General features: G+C 44.6%; 2 protein-coding genes and 1 pseudogene across 17 annotated transcripts in view, besides 9 other annotated features; 1 reads left to right on the forward strand and 2 right to left on the reverse strand.

Moving 5' to 3' along the window:
* RBBP5 (RB binding protein 5, histone lysine methyltransferase complex subunit) overlaps positions 1-316 on the reverse strand; it is a 35837-nt gene extending 35521 nt beyond the window's left edge. For all 9 annotated transcript variants that reach the window (XM_047426902.1, NM_001193273.2, XM_047426907.1 and 6 more), the window contains exon 1: positions 193-316. Coding sequence is in view for 5 of the 9 variants with exons in the window: in XM_047426905.1 (XP_047282861.1) it covers positions 193-211 (19 nt within the window). In the remaining 4 variants the exon portion in view is untranslated. The remainder of the gene's footprint in view (positions 1-192) is intronic.
* Positions 98-277: an enhancer, noted in NCBI's record as "active region_2374". NCBI's record gives its function as "activates an Ori minimal core promoter by ATAC-STARR-seq in GM12878 lymphoblastoid cells {active_cell/tissue: GM12878}" and the evidence as "EXISTENCE:reporter gene assay evidence [ECO:0000049][PMID:35858748]".
* Positions 418-637: an enhancer, noted in NCBI's record as "active region_2375". NCBI's record gives its function as "activates an Ori minimal core promoter by ATAC-STARR-seq in GM12878 lymphoblastoid cells {active_cell/tissue: GM12878}" and the evidence as "EXISTENCE:reporter gene assay evidence [ECO:0000049][PMID:35858748]".
* Positions 999-1293: a silencer, noted in NCBI's record as "tiled region #3970; HepG2 Repressive non-DNase unmatched - State 4:PromP". NCBI's record gives its function as "represses a minimal TATA promoter and a strong SV40 promoter by Sharpr-MPRA in HepG2 cells {active_cell/tissue: HepG2}" and the evidence as "EXISTENCE:reporter gene assay evidence [ECO:0000049][PMID:27701403]".
* Positions 10671-11171: an enhancer, noted in NCBI's record as "H3K27ac hESC enhancer chr1:205101461-205101961 (GRCh37/hg19 assembly coordinates)". NCBI's record gives its function as "activates a minimal SCP1, AML or CMV promoter by ChIP-STARR-seq in naive and primed H9 embryonic stem cells {active_cell/tissue: H9 hESC(naive and primed)}" and the evidence as "EXISTENCE:reporter gene assay evidence [ECO:0000049][PMID:30033119]".
* LOC124904585 (signal peptidase complex subunit 1-like) lies at positions 12984-16680 on the forward strand (annotated as a pseudogene).
* Positions 13688-13832: an enhancer, noted in NCBI's record as "145 bp 1:205104550 sequence used in MPRA reporter constructs". NCBI's record gives its function as "activates a minimal TATA-containing promoter with rs4330974 allelic activity by MPRAs in C283T melanocytes and UACC903 melanoma cells {active_cell/tissue: C283T | UACC903}" and the evidence as "EXISTENCE:reporter gene assay evidence [ECO:0000049][PMID:36423637]".
* Position 13760: a transcriptional cis regulatory region, noted in NCBI's record as "rs4330974 or 1:205104550 MPRA-significant variant associated with a GWAS melanoma risk locus at 1q32.1". NCBI's record gives its function as "allelic transcriptional activity by MPRAs in C283T melanocytes and UACC903 melanoma cells {active_cell/tissue: C283T | UACC903}" and the evidence as "EXISTENCE:reporter gene assay evidence [ECO:0000049][PMID:36423637]".
* Positions 16166-16714: an enhancer, noted in NCBI's record as "OCT4-NANOG-H3K27ac hESC enhancer chr1:205106956-205107504 (GRCh37/hg19 assembly coordinates)". NCBI's record gives its function as "activates a minimal SCP1, AML or CMV promoter by ChIP-STARR-seq in naive H9 embryonic stem cells {active_cell/tissue: H9 hESC(naive)}" and the evidence as "EXISTENCE:reporter gene assay evidence [ECO:0000049][PMID:30033119]".
* Positions 20055-20199: an enhancer, noted in NCBI's record as "145 bp 1:205110917 sequence used in MPRA reporter constructs". NCBI's record gives its function as "activates a minimal TATA-containing promoter with rs3902193 allelic activity by MPRAs in UACC903 melanoma cells {active_cell/tissue: UACC903}" and the evidence as "EXISTENCE:reporter gene assay evidence [ECO:0000049][PMID:36423637]".
* Position 20127: a transcriptional cis regulatory region, noted in NCBI's record as "rs3902193 or 1:205110917 MPRA-significant variant associated with a GWAS melanoma risk locus at 1q32.1". NCBI's record gives its function as "allelic transcriptional activity by MPRAs in UACC903 melanoma cells {active_cell/tissue: UACC903}" and the evidence as "EXISTENCE:reporter gene assay evidence [ECO:0000049][PMID:36423637]".
* Positions 20843-27192, reverse strand: part of DSTYK (dual serine/threonine and tyrosine protein kinase) — a 69198-nt gene continuing 62848 nt past the window's right edge. For 4 of the 8 annotated variants that reach the window (XM_011509394.3, XM_011509392.3, NM_015375.3 and 1 more), the window contains 2 exons: positions 26543-26677; positions 20843-26083 (listed from right to left, as the gene is read on the reverse strand). In XM_011509394.3, the coding sequence (XP_011507696.1) occupies positions 25896-26083; positions 26543-26677 (323 nt within the window). In that variant the 3' untranslated portion in view covers positions 20843-25895. The remainder of the gene's footprint in view (positions 26084-26542; positions 26678-27192) is intronic. The other 4 variants (XM_047417152.1, XM_047417145.1, NM_199462.3 and 1 more) reach the window with 1 other exon arrangement.

Here is a 27192-nt window from a genome sequence, read left to right on the forward strand (position 1 = left end):
TCGGGAGGGGCAATGCAACCTACTCGGGCAGAAGGTGGGCTTCCTCCTCCCGCTGCTGCTCCACATCAGGTGTGCCCAGTGATCCATAGCCGAACAGTGTCCCTAAGATTGCAGCCTGACTCCCCTCCCGCCTGGGTTCCCTCCTTTCCAGTACCCAACGCTTCTCTAAAACGCAGCCACAGCCCTTCTCACCCAGCAACTCGAGGTTCATCCCTGCGGACTGTGGCCGCCCGGTCTCAGCTCCGGCAACAACACCTTCTCCCCGGCCGGCTTCAGCAACTTGCGTCTAAGTGGTGGACGCCGCGAAGAGACTGGCGCAAGCTCCGAAGACTTTCGGCCTTAGAAGGCCCCGCGGCTTCCGCTTTCTTCCCCCGCCTTCCTTGTTCGTTTCAGGTGGGCTGCCCAAATATATGCCTGACCAAAATCAAGCATACACTCTCTCGGAAACAATTAATTATGATCTTTGCTGAGGTACAACAATGTTATCGTCACTAGGGACTTTAAATAGCGCGACAATTTAAGATTATTTGCTCCGGGAACATGTAGGTGAGGTAGAAATTCCAGGCATACAGTTAACCTACTAGTTCTTGCCCTGTTGTGTGTTCAGCGGCGTTGTCCGGGCGGGCTACCTCAGACTCCGCAGGAAAGGTTCCGGACAAGTCCTGCTAATGCAAGAAACCAGGGAAGGTCGTCCCCTAGTGCTCGGGTGTGTAGCGCCGCTGACCTCACCAAGGCGCGTACTTACCCTGTATGTAGGTGGCGTTGCAGGGTGTTTCGGTCTCGTGAAAATTATTTCTCATTTGTAAAGATATGCTATTGATCCTACAGAAAGGTACGACAACATATGTTAGGCCTGTCTGTGTTAAGATAATAAAAACCTTATTATCTAAGGTTTTACCCTTTACCAAACAGTGTTGACAGGGACGCTGTGAAAAAGACTGTGAAAAAGAATTGGAATGAGGGGTGGACTGAGTTTCCCGGAGCTCAGTCATACAGAACTCCAATGAAATACCCAAAGCAATTAGAGAAGTCCAGTTACTGGTATCTAGCGAAAGAGCAAATTTTATATGAACAAATTCCTACTATAAATGCTGTGGCTCATCAGAAAAAGGAAACAACGTCAAAGGCTCGCTGCAGAAAATAGTACTCGGGCTAGGTCTCCGACAATGGAAAAATACACATACACAAGTTTATTAATCGCAGTATTGTCTGCAATTGCAAACTTTTGGAAACAATAATGAAACTTTTGAACTAGGGAGCCCAGCATTTTCATGTTGCCCAGGGCCCTGCAAATTATGTAGCTAGTCCAGTCTGCCTCTACTTGACAAATTTGCAGAAAAAGCAGCCTCATTCACACAGTGCACCCTGTCCCTGGGCCCCAGTTGATTGCTCTTTCAGTAAGCCCCTGACCTAAGCTCAACCCAATTAAATTCCTTTCCCAAGAATTTGGAATGGGAATTAAGTGGCCCCCACAGTCTGACACATCGATTGAAGAGAGTAAATGTGAATTAAGGAGCTATTTAAAGCGCCTAATAATAGATGGACACCATGGTAGTTGGCTGCAGGTTGCAGAATGAAGCAGAAGTCCAGAAACTAGTCAAAGATAATACTTGGTGTATCCAATTAGTTCCCAAGAACATATTACATTAATGTCTTCTATTTCCATTATCCTTGGACCTTTATAAAGTATGTCTTTTGCAGCCGGGTGCGGTGGCTCACGCCTGTAATCCCAGCACTTTGGGAGGCCGAGGCGGGCTGATCACCTGAGGTCGGGAGTTCGAGACCAGCCTGATCAATATGGAGAAACACTGTCTCTACTAAAAATACAAAATTAGTTGGGCGTGGTGGCTCATGCCTGTTATCCCAGCTACTCGGGAGGCTGAGGCAGGAGAATCGCTTGAACCCGGGAGGCAGAGGTTTCAGTGAGCCAAGATCGCACCATTGCACTCCAGCCTGGACAACAGAGTGAGACTCTGTCTCAAAAAAAAAAAAATCCACAGTTTTTCTACTCTCCAAAGACAAAGGAAAACTTTGCATAAAGGCAAAAGCAACAAGGAAAAATATCGTGTGAAAACCACAGCCTAGTTTCCTCTAAATTCTCTGACTCTACTCTCAAATCCAAAGTAATCATATATATATGTATTTAGAGATATGGTCTCACTCTGTTGCCCAGGCTGGAATGCAATGACGAAACCATAGCTCACTACTGTAACCTTAAATTCCTGGGCACAAGTAATCCTCCTGCCTCAGCCTCCCAAATGCAGGGATTACAGATTACAGCTGTGAGCTACCACGCCTGATTCCAATGTAATAATTTTTACAGATTGGATGCTAATATAGCTAATGAAGTTAAAATTAAAGCTGTTAAAAATAAAAATAGTGAGGCCAGGTGCAGTGGCTCACACCTGTAATCCCAGCACTTTGGGAGGCAGAGGCCAGGCGTATCACGAGGTCAGGAGTTCGAGACCAGCCTGGCCAACATGGTGACACCCCGTCTATACCAAAAATACAAAAAATAGCCAGGTGTGGTGGCGCATGTCTGTAATCCCAGCTACTAGGGAGGCTGAGGCAGGAGAATCGCTTGAACCCAGGAGGTGGAGTTTGCAGTGAGCCAAGATCATGCCATTGCACTCCAGCCTGGGCAACAGCAAGACTTCATCTCAAAATAAATAAATAAATAAAATGAAAATAAAAATAGTGTTAGAAAACCCCTGAGGAATTTTCTTTTCTTTTCTTTTTTTTTTTTTTGAGAGGGAGTCTTGCTCTTGTCGCCTGGGCTGGAGTGCAGTGGCGCAATCTCAACTCAGCACCCGGCCCACTGAGGGATTTTCAGTACACCTTTTTCCTCACACCTCTTTTTCCCTTTCTACCCCTCCAATCCTATTTGGACTTTCTTTTTTTTTCTTTTCTTTCTTTCTTTTCTTTTTTTTTTTTTTTTTTGAGACAGAGTCTCACTCTGTCGTCCAGGCTGGAGTGCAGTGGCATGATCACAGCTCACTGCAGCTCAACCTCCAGGCTCAAGTGATTTTCCCACCTCAGTCCCCCCAAGTAGCAGGGACTATAGGCAGGCACCAACATGCCCAGCTAATTGTTGTAGTTTTTGTAGACAGGGATTCACCATGTTGCCCAGGCTGGACTCGAACTCCTGGGCTCAAGCTGTCTGCCCACATCGGCCCCGCAAAGTGCTGCCATTACAGGTGGTGAGTCACCATGCCTGGCCTTTTTCTTTTAAAAAAAAAAGAAAGTTTAAATAACCTGTAAAAATTAGAGAGCAAGCCATGGCACTTCAAAAAAAGGGAAGTGATCTATTTGACAACGCCAGATCTCATCAGTAATCAGTAAAATGCAAATTAAGTCACAATTAGATATTTACAACGACAAAGTTGACAAACTAAAAGAAGAGCACCCAAAATTCTTGTAAGAGAATTCTCTCAAGAGAATGTGAATCAGTACAACCACGTCGGAAAACAATTTCTTGTTATGTAGTAAAAATGACCTTGTTTACATTTTTATACACTATGACCAGGAAATTCTACCTGTAGGTATATATTGTAGAAAAACTCTTGCACAAGTGCACCAGGAAACATGTACAATGGACATAGTACCATTGTTCATAATAGCAAAAAAAAATCACAAATAGCCCAAACATCAAAAACTGTAGAATGGCTATATCCTGATATATTCATATAATGAAATCAGCAATAAGCAGCTAATTGGCCCCCCTGCTACCTACCTCTCTTCTACTGAAACTCATTCTTTTTTTTTTTTTTTTTTTTTTGAGACGGAGTCTCGCTCTGTCACCCAGGCTGGAGTGCAGTGGCGCAATCTTGGCTCACTGCAAGCTCTGCCTCGCGGGTTCACGCCATTCTTCTGTCTCAGCCTCGCGAGTAGCTGGGACTACAGGTGCCCGCCATCGCGTCTGGCTAATTTTTTGTATTTTTAGTAGAGACGGGGTTTCACCTTGTTAGCCAGGATGGTCTCGATCTCCTGACCTCGTGATCCGCCCTCCTCGGCCTCCCAAAGTGCTGGGATTACAGGCGTGAGCCACCGCACCCGGCCTGAAACTCATTCTTTTCCAGTCACATTGGCACTGCCTTGCTATTATATGAGCTTGCTAAGCACTTTATTCCTGCAGGAATGTAGCACTTTTGTTCCCTCTGCCTGAATCCCTCTTTATTTGTGTGTGTGTGTGTGTGTGTGTGTGTGTGTGTGTGTGTGTGTGTGTGACGGAGTCTTGCTCTGTCACCCAAGCTGGAGTGCAGTGGTGCAGTCCCCACTCACTGCAACCTCCGCCTCTTGAGTTCAAGCAATTCTCCTGCCTCAGCCTCCCAAGTAGCTGGGATTACAGGCATGCCCCACCATGCCCAGCTAATTTTTGTATTTTTAGTAGAGACAGGATTTTGCCGTGTTGGCCAGGCTGGTCTCGAACTCCTGACCTCAGGTGATCTGCCCACCTCAGCTTCCCAAAGTGCTGGGATTACAGGCGTGAGCCACTGTACCCGGCCCCTACTTCATTTTCCTTCATGGTAGTTATCACCGCTTGTCCCATTATACATTGATTCATTTATTTGTTTCTTCATTGTCTCCCTTTTACGAGAGTATAAGCTCCTTAAAGGTAAGTACTTTGTCAATTTTATTCACAGATATGCCATTGTGCCTAGAAAAGAAAGGGCATACAGGTGCTTTAATATGTATTTGTAAAATATTTGCAAAATAAATGAATCAGTATAATTAATGCAAAGATTTTTTCAGACTGGCTTCAGAGACAGAGGCTCTCAGACTGGCTTAAGAAATTAAAAATAATCCTTTTTATTCATTCTGCAGAAGATAAACAAATATATTGAGATGGCCGTCTCAAAATCTAAAAGCTGTTCTAGCTTTTTAAAGTTATTTGGAAATAAAAATTAAACTTTTTTTGTACGAAACCCTCAGCAGTTCGTTGTGATTTCAGATTATATCATAAGTGATCAACAGTAATACAATTTATGAGCCATTGTTATCTCTTACACTAATTATTCTTTTTTTAACTATATATATATATTTTAGAGATGGTGCGGGGGGGGGTCTCCCTATGTAGCCCAAGCTGGTCTCGAACTCCTGGGCTCAAGTGATCCTCCCACCTCAGTCTCCCAAAGTGCTGAGATTACAGGCATGAGCCATCATGCCTGGCCTACTTATGCTTCGTGAAGTCACATAGTTATTTAAAATATGTCTTATGATTCTTGATAAATAAAAAGATTTATATTTTAGATGAGTAATAAGACCATTTACCAGTAGAAACCCTTGTTCTTTACATTGTATAATAGTGTAGAAAAACATGGTAGAGAAGTCTGCCACTTAAAAAATAAAGCAGAGAGATGAGAATAAAATAATTATAAAAGACTACTTTTTGTACCACTTCATGACAAGAAATTAAAAAATCTAAAGGAAGCCAGGTGTGGTGGTTCACACCTGCAATCGCAGTACTTAGGGAGGCTGAGGCAGGAAGATCACTTGAGCCCAGGAGTTCGAGACAAGCCTGGGCAAAATAGTGAGACCCTGTTCTAAAAAAGAATAAAAACGGCTGGGCACAGTGGCTCACGCCTGTAATCCCAGTGCTTTGGGAGGCTGAGGCGGGCAGATCATGAGGTCAGGAGTTCGAGATCAGCCTGGCCAACATGGTGAAACCCCATCTCTACTAAAAGAATAAAAATTAGCCAGGCATGGTGGCATGTGCCTCTAATCCCCACTACTAGGGGGGCTGAGGCAGGAGGATCGCTTGAACCTGGGAGGTGGAGGTTGCAGTAAGCTGAGATCGTACCACTGCACTCCAGTCTGGGCAACAGAGCGAGACCCCGTCTCAAAAAAAAAAAAAAATACAGCTTTCTGATAACTTTAGGATCACATCATTTGGACTAGGTAAGAATTCTCAGAACTCTAATAAAAGGAATGACTGGTTTATAAAACTGCTAACCCAAACAGGACAAGAATTAATTGAAGGCTGGGGTAGTGCCTCATGCCTGTAATCCCGGCACTTTGGGAGGCCAAGGCAGGAGGATCCCTTGAGCCCAAGAGTTTGAGGCCTGTCTAGGCAACATGGGGAAACCCTGTCTCTACAAAAAATATAAAAATTAGCCGGACATAGTGGTGCATGTCTGTAGTCCCAGTTACTTGGGAGGCTGAAGTGGAAGGATTGCTTAAGCCTGGGAGGGGGAAGTTGCGGTGAGCTGAGACTGCACCACTGCACTTCAGCCTAGGCAACAGAGTGAGACCCTGTCTCAAATAAATAAATAAATAATTGAATACCAAGAAAATACTTTGCCAAATTGTCATACTAGATCAGCCAGTATGGAAATTGTTAAGATGTGCAATTTGAATAAATTCCATGGTCCAACTCAAATTACCTATGCTAACCCATCTAATAAACAGTGCTATGCACCTAAATTGGGGAAACACAGTTGGTATTAAAATATAAGTCCAATATTAGGCGCAGACTCATGGAGAACCCTGATGGCTGCCTGGCCCTTCCTGAGTCCTTAAAGCCTCCATTATTAAGCTTTCCATGATTCATCATGAAGAGATAAAATGTTCCAAATTAAATGTGTGTGTATGTGTGTGCGTGAGTGGGTGTGTATGATGACTGTTCTAAATTGCTAAAATAGTTTATGATCAATGTTTTGTTTGTTAAACCCATAATCCTGGGAAGATGAACACAACTTCAAGTACATTTCTGCTACCTGATGGGTCACTTAAACCTTTATAGAAGAATTTTATTCAATTGTCATTTTCAGTGCATGTTTTCTGGTTGTAGTGATAGAAGTACTAATACTTATTTCACTGGACAAGTTGTAAAAACAGTTTTATTTATTTATTTTGTTTTTTTTTAATTTTTTAATTTTTATTTTTTTGAGACGGAGTTTCACTCTGGTTGCCCAGGCTGGAGTGCAATGGCGCGATCTCGGCTCACTGCAACCTCCGCCTCCCACCTCCTGGGTTCAAGCAATTCTCCTGCCTCAGCCTCCCTAGTAGCTGGGATTACAGGCGCCTGCCACCACACCCGGCTAATTTTTTCTATTTTTAGTAGAGACGGGGTTTCACCATGTTGGCCAGGCTGGTCTTGAACTCCTGACCTCAGGTGATCTGCCCACCTCAGCTTCCCAAAGTGCTGGGATTACAGGCATGACCCACCGCGCCTGGCCTATTTATTTATTTATTTATTTTTCAGACAGAGTTTCACTCTTGTTGCCCAGGCTGGAGTGCAATGGTATAATCTCGACTCACTGCAACCTCTGCCTCCCAGATTCAAGTGATTCTTCTGCCTCAGCCTCTCAAGTAGCTGGGATTACAGGCATGTGCCACCACACCCAGCTAATTTTGTATTTTTAGTAAAGGTGGTGTTTCATTATGTTGGCCAAGCTGGTCTTGAACTCCAGACCTCAGGTGATCCACCCTCCTCGACCTCCCAAAGTGTTGGGATTACAGGCATGAGCCACGGCGTCTGGCCATAAAACAGTTTTTTGTTTTTTTTTGGTTTTTTTGAGATAGAATGTCCCTCTGTTGTCCAGGCTGGAGTGCAATGGCATGATCTCAGCTCACTGCAACGTGTGCCTCCCGGATTCAAGTGATTCTTCTGCCTCAGCTTCCCAAGTTGCTGGGATTACAGGCAACTGCCACCATGCCTGGCTAATATTTATATTTTTAGTAGAGATGGGGTTTCACCATGTTGGCCAGGCTGGTCTCAAACTCCTGACCTCAGGCGATCCTCCTGCCTTGGCCTCCCAAAGTGTTGGGATTACAGGCATGAGCCACCGCGGCTGGCCAGTTTTTAAAAAAGGATTGCAGATACAATAACATTAGGCAAAGCTAACTGAATTGACTAGATTGCCTTGGTCAAAGGTGTACCAGATTGATGACAATCAGATCCACTTCCAGTAGAAGATGGAAGTTGACCCCTTATGAAATAAATAGTCACTGGAAAGGCCTATGCACCTAATAATAGAACGTCTTGTATCTTCTGCTACTAAATACTGATATGACTAAATGCTACAAGGTTTTAATGCATTATGCCAAAGTGTATTTTCACCAGGTTAAAAAAAACTTTCATAGTCCACTGACTGAGGACAATCAAACCTTTCACAATCTAGAACCTGGAGATCGATTGGGTCTTCTGAGGGCAACATCACAGAAAAACTGCCCTTGGCATCCACAATGCAGCAAAACTTTGAGATCCTGAACCTTGGTCTCATAATCTCACAACTCAGAAGGGCCTCCTCCAGACTCTTGGAACTGTATACTGATTGGAAACCTTAAGGTAAAGCTAACCAGGGAAGATTCTCTCCAGAAGCAGATGGCATCCCAGATGTAGACAGCTTTTTCTCAAGATCATGGATCAAGATTGTACTATCATGATACTCTTCTCTCTCAAATTTTTTCTTGCTTGTGCCTGTATGAACAATAGAACTGAAAAAGTGATCTCATGTGTGTACTCATGGGGTATACTTTTATTTGTAGAGGATTTTGCAGCCACATGGACAGTCTTACACTTTGATAGATAGAAGATAAAAGGCCAGTGTCAGGGGAAAAAGAAAGAAAATTCTTAGAAGCACTTTATTAAGCACTTAATTTATCCCTTTTTTTTTTTTTTTTTTCTGAGACAGTGTCTTACTCTGTCACCCAGGCTGGAGTGCAGTGGTGCAATCACGGCTCACTACAGCCTCTACCTCCTGGGCTCTGGTGATCCTCCCACCTCAGCCTCCCAAGTAGCTGAGACTACAGGCATGTGCCACCATGCCTGGCTAATTTTTGTATCTTTTGTAGAGACAGGGTTTCACCATGCTGCCTAGGCTAGTCTCAAACTCCTGGACTCAAGCAATCTGCCCACCTCAGCCTTCCAGAGTGCTAGGATTACAGGCATGAGCCACTGTGCCTGACCTTAATTTATCTTTAGCACCAGGATACACTAAACTTTCTGGAGCTAGGAAACAAAAGACTATTAGCTAGAAGGAAAGGAAAATTGGAATATAGTGAGTTTCTCTCCAGTTCATTAATATCTTAAGGGAATGCCTAATCAATTCTTTGAACATAAGCTTCTTGAAGGCAAGCAGCCTACTCTGTTTTGTTTCCAAGTGTCTAGATTAGTGGTTGGCACACTATACATCCTCAATAAATAATTGTTGATCAATAAACAACCACAGGAACAATTTATGAACTATAATTCTCATCCTAGGCTTTTTTTTATTACTTTATGTTATTATCTAAAAACAGTACACAACCTTGAAACTAATTCACTGTACATTTTATAAGTGATAAAGACAAAATACCTAGCACATTCAAAGCCACGTGTTAGCTTATATTAATTGCGATCCAAACTTGCACACTGAGTTCAGCTCACCAATCCAGTTAATCAAGACAGATCAAAAGCCGATCAGGGAAGGCAGAGGAAAATGAAATGCAGACAGGTCCTATCTTTATTTAAAATTTTTTTTTCATCATGGCTTCTTTTTGGCATTAATTCTGACTTTTAAAAGTATTGAGTTTTGGAGTGCCCCCTTAAATTTTGCACGCCAAACAAGTGCCTCACTTGCCCCACAGCAGAGGCCTCAGACAACCCCACAATAAGCACCAGAGGAGGAATGCTCCTTCCGAGTCATACCAAATTAAGGTCAGAGGGCCAGGCCATTATAGCCTTGAATGACCAGCCATTGGACATTGACTGGTTTTGGCAAGGAGGCAACACCTTGTGAGAGCCAACTCGTATCTGCTGAAGGCAAAATCTGTGGAGAGGAACTTGGCTGTGAGCTATCAGCATCCAACACCCTTTCCAGCTGGGAGACATTCCTGACAGTTTGGTCCTTAAGGGGCAATATGGGAGGCACAACAACTTTTTAGTTCTGGTATTATTATTATTATTATTATTATTATTATTATTATTATTATTTTGAGACAGAGTCTCGCTCTGTTGCCCAGGCTGGAGTGCAATGACACGATCTTGGCTCACTGCAACCTCCACCTCCTGGGTTCAAGCAATTCTCCTGCCTCAGCCTCCTGAGTAGCTGGAATTATAGGCATGAGCCACCTCGCCCAGCTAATTTTTGTATTTTTAGTAGAGAGGGGTTTCACCATGTTGTCCAGGCTGGTCTCAAACTCCTGACCTCAGGTGATCCACCTGCCTTGGCCTCCCAAAGTGCTGGGATTATAGGCATGAGCCACTGCGCCCGGCCAACTTTAGACATTTCTCTACTGTTAAATTACTACAAGTGTATTAACTTTGTAATTCAACTCATTAACATATTGAGTCTCTAAACAACAACAAAGACTGGGATATGAGGTCCTGTGGACCACAGTTTTACATCCTACTGAGGTAGGAGATGACCTTTCTGAAACCCCAATCCAGCCAGTCATTTATTCCAGCTTCTATCCTATAAAAGTCCTCTCCCACCCTACAGACTGGTGAGCCTATCCCAGGGAACACAGCGCTTAGGCTGCAGATGGTGAGGGTAAGCGCCCCTCCCTCAGGTCTCTTAGGCAAAAGGGGAGTTGGTATTTAGGGTCAATGAGAGTAAAGGGCTGTTGATGAGTGTAGGAGGGTGGCTCAGACATCTCAGTTTAGAACCCCAGGCTGACTCGTTCTCATTCTTACCCTTTCTCCCTTTCCTGGGCAGGTCCTCAGATCCCTGACCCCCTAGGTGAAGTGGAGACAGCCCAAGGCAGCAACCTCTGGCCGGCATGCCTCCCAAGTGCTGCCGTGTCATCTGCACCAAGAAGGGTAAGTGGGGGTCCAGGCCGTGGGGAAACGGGCCCTGTCTTAAGTCAGCTCCACTGCCACAACACAATACCATAGAGTGGCTGAGTTAAACAACGGAAATTATCTCTCACAGTTCTGGAGTCTGGAAGTCCAGGATCAAGGTGTTGATGGATTCAGTGTCTGGTGTGGGCCTAACTTCTGGTTCACAGACAGCGTCCTCCCTGCTGTATCCACCTGATCCATCTGCTTCTCAGTCTACATCTTGCCTGAGGTCTTCTTGAGGGACTAGGACAGAGAGCAAGGGCATGAGGGACCTGCTGTGCTCTAGTGTTCCAGAAAGAATGGAGTCTGGCTGCTTGTTCTCGCAGTCCAATAACAAGATGCAGACAGACTGGGAAAGAAGGGAGTTTATTATTTTTATTTATTTATTTTTTGAGACAGCATCTCGCACTATTGCCTGGGCTAGAGTGCAGTAGCACGACCTCAGCTCACTGCAACCTCTGCCTCCCGGGTTCAAGCGATTCTCCAGCCTCAGCCTCCCGAGTAGCTGGGATTACAGGCACCCACCATCACGCTCGGCTAATATTTTGTATTTTTAGTAGAGACAGGGTTTCACTATGTTGGCCAGGCTGGTCTCGAACCCCTGACCTCATGATCTGCCCACCTTGGCCTCCCAAAGTGCTGGGATTACAGGCATGAGCCACCGTGCCCAGCTAATTATGCCTAAATCTTGGCAGAATCCAGAGCCCTCTCATTATTCTAACCTTGTGGGCTTTTATCAGTTTTACAAAGGCAGTTTAGTTCTGGGAAGGGCTATTATTATTCTTGCTTTAAGATTAAACTATAAACTAACTTTCTCCCAAAGTTGGCTTGGAATGACCAAGGACAGCTTGGATGTTAAAAGCAAGATGGAGTCAACTATATCAGATTTTTCTTACAGTCATAATTTTGGAAAGGTGGTTTTATCTGAAGGTAATCAGTATCTTTATCCTTCTCTGAAAATATAGGGATCTTACAATATTTCAAAAGTTCACCCCCTCATTTGAGCCCCAGAGTTCAAGGCTGCAGTGAGGTATGATCATGCCACTGCACTCAGCTTTGGTCAACAGAGCAGAACCCCATCTCTAAAAAAAGGAAGAAAAACCTCTTGGCTGAGATTCTTTTGCCTCAGAAGTTAGATATCATTATACATATTGCTTTATTTATGTATTTATTTGTTTGTTTGTTTGTTTGTTTTCTCGAGACAGAGTTTCACTCTGTTGCCCAGGCTGGAGTACAGTGGCACAATCTTGGCTCACTGCAGCCTCTGCCTCCTGAGTTCAAGTGATTCTCGTGCCTCAGCCTCCCTGAGTAGCTGAGATTACAGGCATGCGCCTCCATGCTTGGCTAATGTTTTTGTATTTTTTTTGTATTTTTAGTAAAGACAGGTTTTCACCATGTTGGTCAGGCTGGTCTCGAACTCCTGACCTCAAGGGATCCTCCCGCCACAGCCTCTCAAAGTGCTGGGATTACAGGCCCATTACATGCCCGACCTGATATCATTATACATTTTTTTTAATATATAACCAATGTGTGTTTAGATTTAGCCATCCATTTACTGTTTTCTTCGCTTACCATTCATTCCTGCATGTCAGGCCTCTCTAGGTTCATGGTTTCCTTTTTCCTAAAATACATCTTTTACATGAGTATTAATGAAAATCAGTTTGTAAATTATTTCAACTTTTGATTTTTAAAAAATGTTTTAATTTTTATCCTCATTCTTGGAGTATACATCAGCTAAGCATATACTTACAGGTTGGTATTTCTTTTCTATCGCCACTTTGGAGATGTTATTTAAAAGACAAGACAGGGCCTGGCGCAGTGGCTCACACCTGTAATCCAGCACTTTGGGAGGCTTAGGCAGGCGGATCACTTGAGGCCAGGAGTTCGACACCAGCCTCGCCAACATAGTGAAACCCTGTCTCTACTAAAAATACAAAAATTAGGCCAGGTGTGGTGGTGTGTGCCTGTAATCCCAGCTACTCGGGAGGCTGAGGCAGAAGAATGACTTGAATCTGGGAGGCAGAGGTTGCAGTGAGCCGAGATGGCACCATTGCACTCCAGCCTGGGCAAAAAGAGCAAAACTCCACTCAAAAAAAAAAAAAAAACAAAAGCCAAGCGTGGTGGTATAAGGCCCAGACCCAGACCCAGATCTGAGTTGCAGCCACCCTCACCATGCTGCCCACTGCCTGCGCTCCACCACCTGCCTCCATGGCCAGTCATGTTGGAGCATATGAGCTTGCTGCCCATACGAATAGATTACAAGGGACAAAAGCTAGTTGAACAAATGTTTCAGAGAATTATTATTTTTTCTTCAGTCATTGGATTTATCTACGGTTATGTGGCTGAACATTGCAGATGAACTGTCTATATAGTTATAGCTGGATTTGCTTTTTCACATTTGCTGACACTTCACCCGTGGCCCATCCATCAGTGGCATCCCCTCAAGAGGTTACTTGTCCAAGACTCATCACAGACAACCAACAAGAAGCTGGGGATAGAAAAATTAAGAGGCATGCTAAAAATACTCTATTGGGGTTTTCCTGGTTTGGCTTTGCTATAACACCTGTTTTTGTTTCATGTGAAATGGATCCAAAACATCAGATAAAAGCCACTCATGCAGGCTGGGCCCGGTGGCTCACACCTGTAATCCCAGCACTTCAGGAGGCCAAGGCGGACGGTTCAAAAGGTCAGGAGATCGCGACCATCCTGGCTAACACGGTGAAATCCCATCTCTACTAAGAATACAAAAAATTAGCTGGGTGTGGTGACACACGCTTATGGTCCCAGCTACTCGGGAGGCTGAGACAGGAGAATCACTTTAACCTGGGAGGCAGAGGTTGCAGTGAGCTGAGATCGTGCCACTGCACTCCAGCCTGGATGGCAGAGAGAGACTCCGTGCCCCCCAACCCCCCCCAAAAAAAACACTTCATACATCCAGGCATGGTGGCTCATGCCTCTAATCCCAGCACTCTGGATCACCTGAGGCCAGGAGTTTGAGACCAGCCTTGCCAACATGGTGAGACCCCCCCCCACCCCCGCCATCTCTACAAAAATACAAAAAAGTTTAGCCAGGCATGATGGTGGGTGCCTGTAATCCCAGCTACTAGAGAGGCTGAGATGGGAAAATTGCTTGAACCTGGGAGGCAGAGGTTGCAGTGAGCCAAGATCATACCACTGCACTCCAGCCTGGACCACAGAGACTCTGTCTAAAAAAAAAAAAAAAAAAGCCACGAATGCTTTCTGGCACAGCTGTATGTAGATCTGGTTTTCTATATTTCATTTTTAATCCCATTGGGTTTTGATTTATAAATATTTTAGAGCCTCTCTTTATTATCTTGCTCTGAAATGGAGAATAGAAAATACAAGTATGCAACATTTTTTCAGGTTTTTATAAAGTTTTCATAATGAAGAATAGTTGGCTTACAAATTATAATACAATTTAACTATCGAAGTGTGTGCATGTGTGTGTGTGAGACAGGGTCTGGCTCTGTTGCCCAGGCTGTAGCGCAGTGGCAAGATCTTGGCTCATGTAGCCTCGACCTCCCAGGCTCAAGCGATCCTCCCACCTCAGCCTCCCTCCCTGTAGCTGGGACCACAGGTTTTGTATTTTTAGTAGATACAGGGTTTCACCATGTTGCCCAGGCTGGTGTTGAACTCCTGGGCTCAAGGGATCCACCCACCTCAGCCTCCCAAAGTGCTGGGATTACAGGGATGAGCCACTGTGCCTAGCCATTAACTATCAAAGTTTTATAATTCACTATGAGTAAACTGTTTAATATTTTCAATTAAAACTGATAGCCTCCTGAGTAGCTGGGATTACAGGCGCCTGCCACCACGCCCAGCTAATTTTTGTATTTTTAGTAGAGACGGAGTTTCACCATGTTGGCCACGCTGGTCTCGAACTCCTGACCTCAAGTGATCTGCCCATCTCAGCCTCCCAAAGTGCTGGGATTATAGACGTGAGCCACCACACCTGGCTGGCAAATTTTTAAAATTTTTTGTAGAGACAGGTCTCACTATTTTACCCAGGCTGGTCTTGTACTTCTGAGCTCAAATGATCCTACCACCTTGGCCTGCCAAAGTGCTGAGATTACAGGTGTGACCCACCATGCCTGACCACACTTGCAAATTTAAAAACATACCTCTGTAAAACTCACCTCAACCTCCTGGGCTCAGTCAGTCCTCCCACTTCAGCCTCCCACGTAGCTAGGACTACAGGCACACACCATACAATGCCTGGCTAAATAATATCATTTTTATAAAGCACAAACACAGGCAAAACCAACGTATATATTGTTTAGAGCTACACATACATTTGGAAATACTTTTCTTAAAAAAAAAAAACAAGAGAATGGGCCAGACGTGGTGGCTCACACATGTAATCCCAGCACTTTGGGAAGCCGAGGCGGGTGGATCACGAGGTCAAGAGTTCAAGACCAGCCTGGCCAACATGGTGAAACCTCGTCTCTACTAACAATACAAAAATTAGCTGGGCAAGGTAGTGTGCACCTGTAATCCCAGCTACTCAGGAGGCTGAGGCAGGAGAATTGCTTGAACCCAGGAAGCAGAGGTTGCAGTGAGCCGAGATCATGCCACTGCACTCCAGCCTGGATGACAAAGCAAGAATCCATCTCAAATAAAAAAGAAAAAAAAAAGAGAATGATCAACACAGTAGTAACCTACGGATGGGAGAAAGGCAGGGAGGTGCCGGAACTGGCATATGGGAAAATCACACAGGGGCTTCCAAACCATGGCAGTGTTCTGGCCCACAAATTGCACAGTAAATTCACATTTTAAAAATTGTTCTTGGCCGGGCATGGTGGCTCATGTCTGTAATCTCAGCACTTTGGGAGGCCAAGGCAGGTGGATCACCTGAGGTCAGGAGTTTGAGACCAGCCTGGCCAACATGGCAAAACCCCATCTCTACTAAAAATACAAAAGTTAGCCAGGCATGGTGGTGCATGCCTGTAATCCCAGCTACTCGGGAGGCTGAGGCATGAGAATCACTTGAACCTGGAAGATGGAGGTTGCAGTGAGCCGAGATGGCACCATTGCACTCCAGCCTGGGCGACAGTGAGATTTCGTCTCCAGAAAAAAAAAAAAATTGTTCTTCTGCATCAATTTTTTTTTTTTTGAAGACAGAGTCTCACCCTATTGCCCAGGCTGGAGTGCAGTGGTGCAATGTCAGCTCACTGCAACCTCTGCCTCCTGGGTTAAATTAATTCTCCCTGCCTCATTCTCCTGAGTAGCTGGGATTACAGGCACCCGCCACCACACTCATCTAATTTTTGTATTTTTAGTAGAGATGGGGTTTGGCCATGTTGGCCAGGCTGGTCTCGAACTCCTGACCTCAGATGATCTGCCCGCCTCGGCCTCCCAAAGTGCTGGGATTACAGGCATGAGCCATCACACCCGGCCGCATCAAAATATATGAGGATGTTACATCTACTCCTTTGCCAGTATCTATAATTTTTAAAAATTGTAAGCAAATCCTGCTCAGTAAAATGTCTTAGACTAACCATCGTGTTTCTCTATGGTCCCAGCTTAGAACCTGGAGCAGTTCCCCTTATTTTCAGAGCCAGTGGCTTCACATTGAGCCTGACATTTGCCTCTTAAACTCCTGCTTCCACACATAGAAAGGCTCTGAGTTAGCCTTTACCTAGATGCTTGAGGGTCTTTGTGATTCATGGGGAAGCCATGCTGAGAAAATAAGGGACGAAGGAAAGAGAGAGGAAATAGAAGCCAAGGCAGTCTTCATAGGTTGAAAAATACTCCAGAGATTTAGAAATGTCCTTCCCAGAGACCAAGTTGTGGCCTCTCTGTGTCAGGCCCCAATCTGTCAATCTTCTTTCACGACCTTGCCTCCCAGTAGTGCCAGAAGGGTGGCTGTGGAGGTCAAGGAGCCCAAGAGGTGAACTGTAGCGACCATGTGTCACCTGGCACCTGTCCTGAATTTAGGTCCCTTTTCTAACTGCTGCTTGATTACTTTTCAGGAGTTATATCTCCTCCAATGAATGTAATTTTTAGTGAGCAGGCAAATTTAGGTGCCTGCCTCCCATCATGGAATCTGAAGGGGACAGATCCTTCCAGTTCTGAACCAGTAAAGCTAGAAGATGGGCCTGGGACCTATGCTGGGCCAGTCGAGAAAACGCGCCCTGGCTGCTAACTCATGAGGGAGTAAAGATGGTTCATCATAGCCTTAGACAGGCCTTTGCAAAAGCTTGCAAAGCTGCTCTGGTTCTAAGGGAGGAGACCACCCCTCATATTGTCTTGTGCCCAATTTCTGCCTCCAAAGAAAGAAGAAGTAAAAACTAAAAGGCAGAAATGAAATCCACAAGCAGACAGCCTGGCGCCACACCCTGGGCCTGGCAGTTAAAGATCGACCCCTGACCTAATTGGTTATTTGCATAAAAAAGGCACTGTGAAGATCCTGTCCTGTTCAGTTCCTTTCTAATTACCGGTGTATGCAGCCCCCAGTCACGTACCCCCTGCTTGCTCAATCGATCACGACCCTCTCACGTGGACCCCCTTAGAGTTGTGAGCCCTTAAAAGGGACAGGAATTGCTCACTCGGGGAGCTCGGCTCTTGAGACAGGAGTCTTGCCGATGCTCCCGGCCGAATAAACCCCTTCCTTCTTTAACTCGGTGTCTGAGGGGTTTGTCTGTGGCTGTTCCTGCTACCGGTCCTGCCTACTGATTCTGTGAGTCTGATCTTCCAGTTCTAGTTGTTGATTTTTTGAGGCACTAGTATTTTTCCAATACATATTTCCTTCCTCCTAAATTAGCCAGGATTCATTTTCTAGATGTTCATAGCAGATAAACAATACAGTAACAGAAATTCCATACTCTAAAAGTTGGAAGTTGCCTCTTTAGGAAAATCACTATTATCAGTTTGATTTATACATTTACAAATTTTTTTTTCTGTGCACTATACATGCAGATGGGCTAAATCTCTCTCTTTTTTTTGAGACGGAGTCTTGCTCTGTCACCCAGGCTAGAGTGCAGTGGCGCAGTCTCAGCTCACTGCAAGCTCCGCCTCCCAGGTTCACACCATTCTCCTGCCTCAGCCTCCCAAGTAGCTGGGACTACAGGCACCCGCCACCACGCCTGGCTAATTTTTTGTATTTTTAGTAGAGACAGGGTTTCACTGTGTTAGCCAGGATGGTCTTGATCTCCTGACCTTGAGATCCACCCGCCTCAGCCTCCCAAAGTGCTGGGATTACAGGCATGAGCCACTGCTCCTGGCCAGATGGACTAAATCTCTAGATAATTTGGGGTTATGGGGAACAAAGGGATTTTTACCAAAAAATGGGTTATGTTATATATATTCTTTTTTTGTTGTTTGAGATGGAGTCTTGCTCTGTTGCTCAGGCTGGAGTGCAGTGGCATGATCAGCTCACTGCAGCCTCTGCCTCCCAGGTTCAAGTGATTCTCCTCCTGCCTTAGCCTCCCCAGTAGCTGGGGTCACAGGCATGCACCACCACACCTGGCTAATGTTTGTATTTTTAGTAGACACCATATTGGCCAGGCTAGTCTCAAACTCCTGATCTCAGGTGATCTGCCCACCTCAGCCTCTGAAAGTACTAGGATTACAGGCATGAGCCACCGTGCCCGGACAAGCCACTGTGCCCAGCCTACAGTTTTGTTTTTTTGTTTTGTGTTTTTACATTTACATCTCTCCCAGACCTGGACTTTTTTTTCACATGATGATTTAAGTATTTTTTTCCTCAGGTGGTGATATGATTTGAATGCATGTGTCCCTCCAGAATTCCTATGTTGGAACTCAAACCCCAAGCTATTAAGAGGTGGGGCCTTTGGGAGGTGATTAGGCCATGCGGGCTTAGCCCTCACGGATAGGATTAATGGCACTATAAAGAGGCTCAGAGGGCTGCCTAGTTCTTCCATCTCTTCTGCCATGTGAGGACAGCGTTAGTCTCCTGAGGGACGCAGCAACAAGGTGCCATCTTGGAAGCACAGAGCAGTTCTTACCAGATAGTGACCCTGCTGGCACCTCAATCATGAACTTCCCAGCTCCCAAAACTATGAGGAATAAATTTGTTATTTATAAATTACCTGGTCTGTGGTATTTTGTTATAGTAGCAGGAAAAGACTAAAACAAGGGGATAGCCAACTTTACTGACTAATCTATTTTTTTCATGGATTTGAAATGCTAACTTCAAAATATACCAAGGGGGCCAGGAGTGCTGGTTCATGCATGTAATCCCAACGCTTTGGGAGGCCAGATCACCTGAGGTCAGGAGTTCGAGACCAGCCTGGCCAACGTGGCGAAACCCTGTCTCTACTAAAAATACAAAAATTAGCTGGGCATGGTGGTGCGTGCCTGTAATCCCAGCTACTCAGGAGGCTGAGGCAGGAGAACAGCTTGAACCTGGGAGGCGGAGGTTGCAGTGAGCTGAGATCACACCATTGCACTACAGCCTGGGAGAGTGAGACTCTATCTCAAAAAAATAAAAATGAAAATAAAATATACCAAGGAATAGACTCTCCCTAGAAGGGCCACAAGAGGCCTCAATCAGTGTGTGTCTCCCCGTAGTAACTGCACTCCAAAGGAGGTTATTCAGTTAGCACTTCATGGACTCCTTGGGATTCTGCTAAAGACAGAAATTTTGAGGTTGAATTTAATAATGTTCAGAAGCCTGAACTCCACCGAAATAAAGGATCAGGAAGGCCACTCAAGTTGCCCTACTCAGGGCACATACCTACTGAGGGATGTGTTCTTGAAAAAGCATACCCAATCTGAAAATGTGTATACCACAAGCTATTTTTTTCCAAAGTAATAAGGGCAAAGGAAGAGGTTAAGAGAACTCCGTCACACTGAACTTCCTAGGAAAATACAGGGCATATGCATATAAGATGGGATATATTTAACTATGAAGTGTGGCTGGAGTTACTAGAGAGTTTCACAAGTGTTAAGAGGCTTATCTGGGCTGGGTGCATGGCTCACACTTATAATCCCAGCACTTTGGGAGGCTGAGGCAGTATTGCTTGAGCCCAGGAGTTTGAGACCAGCCTGGGCAACATAGCCAGACCCTGTCCTTAAACAAACAAAAACAGCCAGGCACGATGGCATGCATCTGTGGTCCAGATACTCAGGAGGTTGAAGCAGGAAGATTGCTTGAGCCCAGGAGGTCAAGGCTACCGTGAGCTATGTTTGTGCCACTGCACTCCAGCTGGGGCAACAGCAAGAGCAAGACACTGTCTCCAAAATAAAAAATAAAATAAAATAAGGCTTATCTGCATTATTAGCATTAACTAACTGAGCTAACCGGCTTCAGTTGCATTAAATGAATACTGTGTCGGTATAGGCTGAGAACCAGCGAGATCAACCTCAAGGAGCAGGACTACACCAGCTATTTAAGATGTGCTGCCATCTGCTGGCTAACCTTGTGTTGCAGTCAAACCAAAAGTACTTACAGCAAAAAATGACAGCCACACAAGCCGGACATGGTATGATAACAAAAAACAAACCAAAGCAAACGCACCTCGTGCTGCACGCTGACCTTCCCTGGTGACTAGAAGTGGTGCCTGTCTCTTGGCGGTGGCCCATGGTGGTGCCTGTCAGGCACTGCTGAGCAAGCAAATCTCAGCACTGGGGTGAGCCTAAATAGAAAATGCAAAATACACTACATGCAGATAGGCCAGCGTAAGATTATGTGCCCAGTTCCCTCACCATGTATTATAATAGAGTAGCTAGGCTCATATATGAACTCACAATGCTGCAGGTTCGTGCTTAAAAGAAGCTGGAAAAAAGCATGTCACCCAGGATAGGCTCTGGAAGATACATGACTATCATCTCACCCCTTTTCTCCACTATCCTATCTCCCATTCCCTTGCCCCACCCTTCAGTAGTGATGATGTAAAGTACCCAGAGGCCAAGAGCCATGGTGGCTGGGGAGGGCCCCTGATGGGAGAGGAACATGTTCCATCCATCTCTCCTAAGGCAAACTGAAAGACATCTGACTGAAGGTCACCAGTGGAAATGGAATGGATTAGGGAACGTCCTGTTACTATGGGTAGTGAGGTAAGGGAAAACCAAAACCAAACAGATAGAAACCTAAAACGTTAATGTGATCTTTATTATACAGCACATCTGGTATTTGTGTATCCCAACAAGTATACAGAATACTCTATAAAACCAAACCCAACCCTTCAATATTACACTAATGAAGATTAACCCAGAGTCGCATCTCTTCAAAATGCACACAATTAAGACGGTCCTGCTGTAACAATATTATGGAAAGAGCCAGGTAGCACAAGAAAGGAGAGAGGATAAAGACTGAAGTGTGTGCCAAAGTCATTGTCTTTTGTTATTGCACTTTTATTCTACACACTTAGTATCTTACACTTTTATTTAACACTGTAATAAACATTAGTCCTTTAAAACAAAGAAAAAACATTACATGAAGACAAAAGACAACAGGCTGCCCAGACCAATTTTCTTTTCAACTATCTGGGCAAGGTGGCCTCCCCAGTGCTAGATGTCCTGATGCACCTCTGAGATCACCTCAATTGGACTGGATGTTAACAAAACAGATGAAGTTAAAAATGAAACCCTTTTAGGAACAGTAGTGCTACTGGAAACCTCCAGGAGAGTTTGGAATACAAGTGTCTCAAGGCCACTCCCTCCTTACCCACTTTAACATCAAACAAGCTCTATTCATCCCACCTCCATAACTGAAGGATTAACCTTCTTTTTCTTTTTCTTTTTTTTTTTTTTGAGATGGAGTCTTGCTCTGCTGCCCAGGCTGGAGTGCAGTGGTGTGATCTTGGCTCAATGCAGCCTCTGTCTCCTGGGTTCAAGCAATTCTCCTACCTCAGCCTCCTGAGTAGCTGGGACTATAGGTGCCCGCCACCATGCCTGGCTAATTTTTTCTATTTTTAATAGAGACGGGGTTTCACCATGTTACCAGGCTGGTCTCGAACTCCTGACCTCAGGTTTTAAAAAGTGGGTTACTTGATCCAGAAAATCCAAAAGCTTTGGAAATTCCAGGAAAGCAACTACTCTTTTGGCAGTGGACTCTTCCAGGGTTGTTAATCCCACTCTGACACAATATGGATGGACTAGGGAGGCTTCCTGATTATCCAAATGGAATACCAAGCATGCCATCATCTCTCCAAAGCAAGCCCAAAGGGGGCTTTAACTTCCCAAAGTGCTACTGTAATCACCAATTCCCCTGGGCCTCCCAGTGCTAAATAATAAGCCAAAGCCAAAAAATAAAGTGTCATTCAGTGCAGTTGTCACTTTGCAGCCCTGCAACCCCGAGGCACTTCTTCCATGAGGAAGAACACTTTGTGACCCTTCTTTGGCAGCTCAAGCAAAGACACAAGAATGCATTTGAGAGCTGACAGGTACTAGTCGAGAGTTCTATGAGTCCCCTATTTCTATCTGTGGTAGTAATGCATTCTTTCCTCCACTGCTTCCTTGAATTTTAGTGTTAAAAATTAGGAGAATCTGCTGCCTAGGCTCTGTCCCCTTGAAGTTGATGGAGTCAAAAGTGACTCTCTTTGGTCTGGGAACAACCAGCACAGTCCTCCTGAAGCGCTTGCTCAGTCAATGAGCTACTCTTTGCAGAGGATCAGGGAACTAAGGTATGCCTGGGGAAACCCCACCCAAATGAGCCATGCCAGACAGCCCTTGCCATCAGCTCTCTAGGCACAGGGTCAGCCATTCCAGGGCCCCAGGCTCCACCATTTCTCCTGACTGCTCTGCAGGAAGGCCTCTCACTCATTTCTGAAACAAAATGAGAGACCAGACTTCAAGCTCTGGCCATTAAAAATGGCCAGGTCATCATTTTCATGTTGGGGTAAGCTGCCCTAATTATGTTGATTAGAAGGACAGACCACAATAAGGGTCATTCTTTCATGCCATCCTTTTTCTTCCTCCAGCCACAATCTCACCTCACCACTTGGGAACACATACAACCAAAGCTGGGAGGTAAAATCTTTAGGACTTTGGTCATGCTGAGCCCTCTATAACCCAAGTGCTGCCAGACTTCTTTGAAAACCTAGTGTCCTCCCAAGTAATATACAATACAGTACATTTCATGGCATTCCATCACTTATAATAAGAATGGATGCCAAAGAACAAAGCCAAAATTAGCTGACAATGTTATAAAACAAAAGCAAAGTATACACACTCTATACACACGTATACCTGCACTCAGCCTGCTGAGTATTTAAATAACATCCCCAAATATCCATATGTGGACTTTGGCTGGCCTAGAGACTTTCAAGAATATTTTGCACCTTTTCTCAAAATACTTTTTTTTAAAGAAAATGAACTGTAACACAACTACTCATCTCCTTACTTATATCAGTCCCTCCCTTCCACCCTCCCCACTGGGGAAAAAACTGTTGGGGAATCTGCTAGAGAACTGGTATCTGACAGCAAACTAAGCCGTGGGGTAAACTAAAAAGGGACTCTGGGTAGAGGAAAAAAATCTAACCTCCCATATGTGAATGAGAGTATGAGCTAATACTTCCCAAGAATGCTAGGAATGTGACCTTCATAATGGAAGCACAGACTTATGATTATAGTTAGAGTCAAAAGAAAACAGTCTGGAAAGGGAACTATATAAGACTTTTCCTAAAATTTCATACACAACAGACTTACAATGATTTTCCAGCAAGTAGAGAGTACTTACCCCTCCTTTCTTGACACCTGACTCCCTTGAAGCCCCATCATAGTTCCCAGAAGGACAGTAAGTTAGTGCAGAGAATAGAGTACTTGAAGTATAGCTAAATAGGTGGTAAAAATTCTGAGAATATACTGAACATCCTACCAAAACAAGGCTAAAGCCTGCAGAGCCCAAAGACACTGAGTCAGTTACTTTATCATTTGCAAGTAAAAAGGTTATTAGCACTACATGGAATTTCTGAAAGGCTCCAAGAGTTTAGGGAGCTACTATGCTCAAACATATCATGATCAGAGCCCAGGATAGCCAAAGAGTTAAAAGTTATATGAAAGACCCATTATAGACTCCATTTATACTCCATTAATATTTAAAAGATGGTCATTCTGTCATAGACAACCCTAGAAAATCCCAGCAGCAGATGTGCGACTCATCTTTGTTTTTTGTTTTTTTTTTTGTTTTTTTTTGAGATAGAGTCTCGCTCTGTTGCCCAGGCTGGAGTGCAGTGGCGTGATCTCGGCTCACCATGACCTCTGCCTCCCGGGTTCAAGTGATTCTCCTGCCTCAGCCTCCCAAGTAGCTGGGATTACTGGTGCGTGCCAGCATGCCCGGCTAATTTGCAACTCATCTTATACACCTACCTGGGGACCTGTTTTACAAACTCTCGGGCTGAACACAGGGGCCAGACCACAGTTATTGGGGATTAGGCAGATGGAGGGAGACTACTCACTTCCACTGTCTACTTCCTCGTCTACCTGTTTTTCGGAATCTAATGGACCAGTTTGGTTGAGGAAGGCTTGAAGTCAAGTGCATCTGAGATGCACCAATATTTAAATTGTTCCCCTTCCTCTGCCTAGAATCAGAATTTCTTTCCTCAAGCACACTTCATGAGGAACCCTCCAAAAGACCACCCACCCGCCTCCCACCTTTCAGGGAAACTTCCCAGACACTAGCACACAGGGGTGAGGGGCACACACAGAACTACCAGAGGAGGGTTTTTCTCTTTCGTCTGCTGCTTTTTTTCTTCTAACAGATTTTTAAAAAGGTAAAAAGAAGGAACAAATTGCGGGAGAAATCGTGGTTAAAAGCTCATTGATCAAGTTTTCCAAACGTCAGTGTGTTAGATTCAAACACAAAAAGAAAAATTTCTGATTGTGTTAAGTTTTAAAAACAAGCTGGTTTTCTTCCAGTATGTTTGTACATAGGCCATGGCCTCCAATCATCTCCCACCTCTCAGTTCTCACCCAAATACTTCGCATTGGGTTGGTTTTGCTTAGACACTCACTCCTAAGTACCATGTTATCTGGAGCTTTCCCACTTTGAGATGAAAAGAGGTAAACAAAAGAAAAGACTCAAAGGTAAAAGAACAGATTCTGTTCTGGGGTTAGCAGTAACTCTAAATCCAATAACTCCTGTGTGTATGTCTATATAGATAGAGATATAGACACACACACATATATACATATACACACAAATATATGCATACACATTCTATTTTTTTTTTTTTTTTGAGACAGAGTCTCACTCTGTCGCCCAGGCTGGAGTGCAATGGCATGATCTCGGCTCACTGCAACCTCCGCCTCCCAGGTTCAAGCGATTCTCCTGCCTCAGCCTCCTGAGTATCTTGGATTACAGGCATGCACCACCACGCCCGGCTAATTTTTTGTATCTTTAGTAGAGACGGGGTTTCACCATGTTGGCCAGGCTGCTCTTGAACTCTGGACCTTGTGATCCGCCCGCCTCAGCCTCCCAAAGTGCTGAGATTACAGGCGTGAGCCACCATGCCTGGCCTCTTTTTTTTTTTTTTTCCTCTTTTCAGGGCCTCTTGGTGATGTAACAGTGAAACCCTCCCCCAGAAACCAGGGATATGTGGTCCTATAAATGTAAACACACTGGCACTATGAGGAACAGATAGCTCTGTTTCTAGCTCCCTCACTGGGACTTCTGACCATTGCAACCTGAGATACCTGGCTGCAGACAGCAGGAACCAGACATCCACAAGTTATTGTTTTTGTCCCCATGTTTTCATAATCCCAGAACTAAGCTCAAATTTTCTGAGTCCTGACTAAACTATTCCTAGCTAGAGCCAAAAATCATGAGAATGAGATTTTTTAACACTATTGCCACTGCAGTGTCCCGCTTGCTGTCTTAGAAGTATATACAGTGAAAAGACAATGGTAACATCTGCCTCCTTTTCATTTGTGAAGCCAGAACACCACATTCCTCAGCTTTTACACATCTGAGACACTTTTTTGCTAAAGGGATAGCTTGGCGCTTCAGTGAGCTGCTGAATATGCTCAGTCATTCAACTCTTCACTGTCCAGGAGTCATCCCTGCCTGGGAAGGTTCCAAGTTTCCCAGCAAGCACCAGTTCCCTTGGGAGTGTGTCCTATAGTGAATAAATGTCAAATTCTCCCCATGGCCAAAAGGTGAGGGGGAAGGAAATAACTAGAGAGTGAAAGAGAAAGGTCTTTGCTTTCAAGTAGAATCATCTAGTCCTCTGTTTGGCTGCTCAGAATTGGACTTGCAGAGCCGATTCATGATGCCCTGGAGCATGGGCTGGACAATGCCCAAGAGAGGCCTCTTCAAGGGGTCGCCATCCCAACAGGCTTCCATCAACTGCCAGCACTCCTCATCAAACACAGGAAGACGTTCTGGGCGAGCCCCTAGAGAAAGGAGCATGGAAACAAGATCACAGTGAGAGGGACCCAGCACAACAAAGAGGCATGACCAGCTCAAAGGCTGACTTCCCAGTGGGGCTCAGAATACTAAGAATGCAAGGAGTTTTGACTTCGATTGCAAACATCTAGGTTAGAACCTAACAGTAAGAGCAATTAAAAAAAAAAAGAAAGAAAGAAAAAGAAAAGAAAAACTGGAACACATTAGCATATGAAGTTGAAGAATCGGACATTTTTTAAAAAAGACTTTTCGAGATAGTTCAATAGAGAGTTGACTTGAAGCAAAGGTTGACTTAAATATCTTTTCTGGATTCATGACAGTTTAAACGTATCTACGGCCCTGCTATGGAGTGGCCAGATGGGATGACAGGAGACCCGGTGACATTGCCTGGGCTCAGTCTGCGCTAGCCAGGGGAGTTAGGACAAGGTAGTACTTGTGGCTCTTACCCCTCCGCACATTGTTCCAGAGATGGTCTTTGCTAGCACACCTCTCAAATGCCTCAGGGAGCTTGACAGAGCCTGAGCAGATATACCAGAAAAGAATTCCAAAAGCGTAGACATCCACGGAATTATCGTACTTCCCTGATGGCAAGAAAGGATGAAACGTAATGAGCCACAGAGAGTCAGGCAGCAGCATCTACACCACCTTGCCTCAGTAGAGGGTTGGCTTTTTCCAAAGCTTTTAACAACTATTATCTCTCAATAACAACCCTGCCAGGTAGGCAGGGTACATTTATAATGCCCATTTTACAATACAATCAACTAAGACATTGGGAGGTCACAGCTCAATACTAAGAGAGCCAAGCCTAGAACTTGACAAAGGAGAAGGAAAATAAGGCCTTTCATTCTGCTAGGACAGTCAAAAAGATTAATCACAAAAGGTCATATTAGGGAAATAAAGTTGGAAATACAGGTGGGTAGGTATGTTGGAACCAGAATATAATAATTTTTAAAGTCAGGTAGAAGAGTCTGGATTCAGTGAGAAGCAGGAAGTCATTTATGTTTTAGAGTAGGAGGTGACATGAAGAATATAATATTTTAGAAAGATGATTCCAACAGCAATAGGGTGGACTGTAATAGAAACAATAAAAGAAATT

Source organism: Homo sapiens, chromosome 1, assembly GCF_000001405.40.
Source record: "Homo sapiens chromosome 1, GRCh38.p14 Primary Assembly".
Taxonomy (NCBI): Eukaryota; Metazoa; Chordata; class Mammalia; order Primates; family Hominidae; genus Homo; species Homo sapiens.